Source organism: Homo sapiens, chromosome 1 (assembly GCF_000001405.40).
Source record: "Homo sapiens chromosome 1, GRCh38.p14 Primary Assembly".
Taxonomy (NCBI): Eukaryota; Metazoa; Chordata; class Mammalia; order Primates; family Hominidae; genus Homo; species Homo sapiens.
This window is the reverse complement of record NC_000001.11, coordinates 39,061,909-39,067,998: the sequence shown is the minus strand read 5'-3', so window position 1 is coordinate 39,067,998 and position 6,090 is coordinate 39,061,909. Positions and strand designations below refer to the sequence as shown.

General features: G+C 45.3%; 1 annotated feature.

Moving 5' to 3' along the window:
• Positions 2,545–2,837: a silencer, noted in NCBI's record as "fragment chr1:39530834-39531126 (GRCh37/hg19 assembly coordinates)". NCBI's record gives its function as "represses an EF-1alpha promoter that drives an FKBP-Casp9 reporter gene in an ReSE screen in K562 erythroleukemia cells {active_cell/tissue: K562}" and the evidence as "EXISTENCE:reporter gene assay evidence [ECO:0000049][PMID:32094911]".

The window sequence follows — 6,090 nt, the reverse complement described above, 5'->3', positions numbered from 1 at the left end:
TCAGGAGATTGAAACCATCCTGGCTAACATGGTGAAACCCCGTCTCTACTAAAAATACAAAAAATTAGCCGGGCATGGTGGCGGGTGCCTGTAGTCCCAGCTGCTCGGGAGGCTGAGGCAGCAGAGTGGCGTGAACCTGGGAGGCGGAGCTTGCAGTGAGCCGAGATCGCGCCACTGCACTCCAGCCTGGGTGACAGGGTGAGACTCTGTCTCAAGAAAAAAAAAAAAGAAAAAAGTAAAAGAGTTCAGCTCCTAAACTAGGAGTATATGTATAAAAAAGGAAAGATCAGTGGCTGCCAAGGAATGAGGGGAAAGAGGAATGAACAGGCAGAGCACAGACGATTTTCAGGGCAATGAAATTACACTGTATGATAGCATCATGGTGAATAGATATCGTTATGCATTTGCCAAAACCCATAGAATGCTTGACACTAAGAGGGAACCTTAACATTAACTATGAAGTTTGGATGGAAATGATCTGTCATTGACGGTAACAAATGTACCACTGTAGTGTGGGATGCTGACAGTAGGAAGCTTGGGTGTTTATGAGGGCAGGATATGTATAAGAACTCTCAGCATATTCAGTCCTCACAACAACCCTATGTGTCCAACATATCCAAGATATTATCATCTCAAAATGTAACCAATATTTTAAAAATTTAAATAGTTTTGGCTGGGCACAGTGGCTCACGCCTGTAATCCCAGCACTTTGGGAGTCTGAGGAGGGCGGATCATGAGGTCAGGAGACGGAGACCATGCTGGCTAATGGTGAAACCCCATCTCTACTAAAAATACAAAAAATTAGCTGGGCGTGGTGGTGGGCACCTGTAGTCCCAGCTACTCGGGGGGCTGAGGCAGGAGAATGGCATGGACCCCGGAGGCGGAGCTGGCAGTGAGCCGAGATCAAGCCACTGCACTCCCGCCTGGGCGACAGAGCGAGACTCTGTCTCAAAAAAAAAAAAAAAAATTAAGTACTTTTTCATGAACAAAATTCTCAAAATCTGGTGTGCATTTTGGACAGCTGTAGTGGCTCACACCTGTAATCCCAGCACTTTGGGAGGCCGAGGAGGGCGGATCGCTTGAGGTCAGGAGTTCCAGGCCAGCCTGGCCAACATGGTGAAACCCCATCTCTACTATAAATACAAAAATTACGCCAGGCTCAGTGGCTTATGCCTGTAATCCCAGCACTTTGGGAGGCTGAGGCGGATGGATTACAAGGTCAGGAGTTTGAGACCAGCCTGCCCAATATGGTGAAACCCCATCTCTACTAAAAATACAAAAATTAGCTGGGCGTGATAGGGGGCGCCTGTAATCACAGTTACTCAGGAGGCTGAGGCAGGAGAATCACTTGAACCCAAGAGGCAGAGGTTGCAGTGAGCCAAGATCACGCCACTGCACTCCAGCCTGGGTGACAGAGCAAGAGTCTGTCTCAAAAAAAAATAAGAATAAAAATAAATAAATAAATAAATTCAAAAATTAGCTGGGCTTGGTGGCGCATGCCTGTAATCCCAGCTACTTGGGACGCTGAGGCTCGAGAATCTCTGGAACCCAGGAGGCAGAGGTTGCAGTGAGCCGAGACCTCACCACTGCACTCCCGCCTGGACGCCAGAGTGAGACCCTGTCTCAAAACAAACAAACAATGCTGCAACAAATCTTCTAAATGCGCTTTTTTGTTGTTGTTGTTTTGTTTTTTTACAAAGATTTCTTTTAGCTTTTTTTTCTCTACATGCATTTGCTATTATTTCTTTAGGTTCTATTTCTAGAAGTGGTCTTTGGCTACTTTAAATAGTAAATTTATCTAATGCTAAGTAGGTTGTTCTGGGGTGGGAAAGGCTCCCATTTAAGTATTTTATAATACCTACTGTCTTCAGCATGCAAAACAATCTCTTCTTAAATTTGAAAGTTCTCCTTCATTTAATAAATAGCAATGTATTCCCCTGAACGTACAGCATTACAATTCAACAGTGGCAAAGATTTTTGACTGGCTGCTGGGTTCAGTGAACTGTAAGGACTGAGAGTGTTAGAACGACACATAAAAGTGCAAACTCTCCAGCTCACAGTCTAACAGGGAAACAAGATAGGAACATAAACAATAATCCACATTATACAAAGAGAATTGCCCCTGGTCCAGACTTCTTACTCTGATGTCCTGGAGCACTTACTCTCTAGGATGGCAAGAATATAACCTAAGATTGGCTGGTTTTACATGTTTACTCTTTGGATCACAAAATGAGGAAACGGCTCCAGGTATGTTAGCAAGAGACAGTATAAATTATTCCATGGCTGGAGGCCAGAGTCTATTTCCTCTCCAAAAGCCCGCTGTGTACCTTCATTTAGTAAACATTTACCTGCTTCTATTCTATATCACATGTTGGGGAGGTGATGGAATCCTTGCATCGAAGTGCTCAGTAATATATATTGATTGATAAGGTATCAGGTAGCAAAAGGTACAATATTCTAGTGTTTGCCCTAGAAAACCTCGGCTGAAATTGATACATTTTGTTTGCTCCTCTTACTTTTGTTGTTGTTTTTATTTTAACTAAATTTTTTTTTTTTTTGAGACGGAGTATTGCTCTGTCGGCCAGGCTAGGGTGCAGTGGAGCGATCTTGGCTCACTGCAACCTCCGCCTTCTGGGTTCAGGCGATTCTCCTGCCTCAGCCTCCCAAGTAGCTGGGATTACAGGTGCCCCACCGTGCCTGGCTAATTTTTGTATAAAAAATTTTTTTTTACTGAGGTGTAATTTACATGCAAGAACATGCACCCACATTAACGGTCTAGTTGGATGAGTTTTGAGAGTTGTATTTACCCATGAAACATAGAACATATTCATCATCCCAAAAAGTTCCTTCTTTTTTTTTTTTCCTTTCAAGATAGAGTCTTGCTCTGTTCTCCAGGCTGGAGTGCAGTGGCATGATCTGGGCTCACTGCAACCTCCGCCTCCCGGGTTCAAGCAATTCTCCTGCCTCAGCCTCCTGAGTAGCTGGGATTACAGGCATGCGCCACCACCACACACGGCTAATTTTTGTATTTTTTTTTTTTTTTTTTTGAGACAGAGTCTCACTCTGTCACCAGGCTGGAGTGTAATGGCGCAATCTCGGCTTACTGCAACTTCTGACTTCCTGGTTTAAGCAATTCTCCTGCCTCAGCCTCCTGACTAGCTGGGATTACAGGCACACGCCACCACGCACAGCTAATTTTTTTGTATTTTTAGTAGAGACAGGGTTTCACCATGTTGGCCAGGATGGTCTCGGTCTCCTGACCTCGTGATCCGCCTGCCTTGGCCTCCCAAAGTGTTGGGATTACAGGTGTGAGCCACGGCACCCTGCCGAGTTTTTGTATTCTTAGTAGAGACGGGGTTTCACCACGTTGGCCAGGCTGGTCTCGAACTCTTGACCTCATGATCTGCCTCCCTCGGCCTCCCAAAGTGCTGGGATTACAGGTGTGAGCCACTGTGGCCTTTTTTTTTTTTGTCTTTTAAAGGGGATGGAGTCTGACTCTGTTGCACAGGCTGGAGTGCAGTGGTGTGATCTTGGCTCACTGCAACCTCCACCTCCCAGGTTCAAGCAATTCTCCTGCTTCAGCCTCCTGAGTAGCTGGGACTACAGGCGCGCCCCACCATGCCCAGTTAATTTTTTGTTTTTCAGTACAGATGGGGTTTCACCATATTGGCCAGGCTGGTCTCAAACTCCTGACCTTGTGATCCACCCGCCTCAGCCTCCCAAAGTGCTGGGATTATAGGCGTGAGCCACGGTGCCCGGTCTTTTTTTTTTTTTTTTTAAATAGAAATGGGTTCTCACTTTATTGCCCAGGCTGGTCTTGAACTCCTGGACTCAAACGATCCTCCCACCTGAACCTCCCAAAGTGCTGGAATTACACGCATGAGCGACTGCACCCAGCTCCCTTATTCAAATTAACTTTTGACTTCTTATTTTGAAATAATTGTAAATGCACAGGAAGTGCAAAGATAGTGCAGAAAAGTTCCACATAGCCTTCACCCAGTTTCCTCCGATGGCTGCCTCTTCCATAATTACAACACAATATCAAAAGCAGGAAATGTACTCTGGTCTGATATGAATACATAGTTCTACGTCATTTTATCACGTTTATATTCCTGTAAGCACCACTGCAACCAAGATAAATATATCACCACAAAGATCTCCCTTCTTTGTGCAGGGAGATATTCCTTTATAGTTACACTGTCCCCCACCATCCCTAACACCTGGCAAGCACTATTTTCCATCTTTATAATTTTGTCTTTTTAAGAATGTTTCGTAAGTGGAACTATACAGTATGTGACCTTTTCAGATGGCTTTTCTCACTCAGCCCTTGAGATCCAGCTAAGTTGCTGCTGTATCAAGTTTGTTCCTTTTTATTACTAAGTAGGATCCCATGGTATATTTGTTTCCTAGAACTGCCATAACCAATCACAACAAACTCGGTCTGTGGCTTAAAGCAACGGACATTTATTCTCTGATAGTTCTGGAAGCCAGAAGTCTGAAACCCAGGTGTCAGCGGGGCCATGCTCCCCCTGAAGCCTCGAGGGGAGAATGCTTCCTTGCTAGGTTCTGTTTTGTTGGTTCCAGCCATTCCTTGGCTTGTAAGGGCATCGCTCCAATCACATGGTCTTCCCTATGTCTGTGCCTTCTCCTCTCCTGTCTCTTAAAAGGACACTTATTGGCTGAGTGACGTGGCTCACCTTTGTAATCCCAGCACTTTGGGAGGAAAAGGCGGGAGGATCATTTGAGCCCAGGAGTTTGAGAACAGTCTGGGCAACATAGTGAGACCTGTCCCTACAAAAAATTTTTTAAAAAATTAGTCAAATGTTGGCTGGGCATGGTGGCCCACGCCTGTAATCCCAGCACTTTGGGAGGCTGAGGGCAGCGAATAATTTCTGGCCAGGAGTTCAAGACCAGCATGGCCAACATGGCAAAACCCCGTCTCTACTAAAAATACAAAAATTAGCCGGGCATGGTGGGGAACACCTGTAATCCCAGCTACTCGGGAGGCTGAGGCATGAGAATTGCTTGAACCTGGGAGGCGGAGGTTGCAATGAGCCCAGATAGCACCACTGGACTCCAGCCTGGATGTCAGGGAGACTTTGTCTCAAAAAAAAAAAAAAATTCAGCCAGGTGTGGTGGCAGATGCCTGTGGTCCCAGCAACAAGAGGATTGATTGCTTGGGGAAAAAAAGACACTTGTCATTGGATTTAGGGCCCACCCAGATAATCTAGGTTGATATCATCTCGAGATCCTTAACTTAATCACAGCTGCAAAGACCCTATTTTTAATTTTTTTTTTTTCGAGATGGAGTTTTGCTCTTGTTGCACAGGCTGGAGTGCAATGGCGCGATCTCGGCTCATCACAACCTTTGCCTCCTGGGTTCAAGTGATTCTCCTGCCCAGCCTGAGTAGCTGGGATTACAGGCATGTGCCATAACACCGGGCTAATTTTGTATTTTTAGTGGAGACGGGGTTTCTCCAAGTTGGTCAGGCTGGTCTCGAACTCCCGACCTCAGGTGATCTGCCCACCTAGGCCTCCCAAAGTGCTGGGATTACAAGCGTGAGCCACCGCGCCCGGCTTCAAAGACGCTATTTTCGAACGTCACATTCATAGGTTCAGGAGTTAATATATGTACATGTCTTTTGGGGGGCTCCCATTTAACTCGATACATGTGATATGGATATATCATGGTTTATTTAGCCATTCATCTATTTGATGGTCATTTTGGTTGTTTCCAGGTTTTGGCTATTACAAATAAATGTGTTATGAAAAATCATGTACAGGCTTTCGTGTGAACATAAGTTTTCATTTATCTGGGATAAATGCCAAGTAGGAAAATTTCTGGGTCATATGGTAAGGGAATGTTTAGTGTTTAAAGCAAATAGTAGGGCCGGGCATGGTGATTCATGCCTGTAATCCCAGCACACTGGGAGGCCAAGGCAGGAGGATCATTTGAGCTCAGGAGTTCAAGACCAGCCTGGGCAACGTAATTAGGCCCTATGTGTACAAAAATTAAAAATTAAAAAATTAGCCAGACTTTGGGGTGCACACCTGTAGTCCCAGCTACTCGGTGGGGTGAGGTGGAAGGAT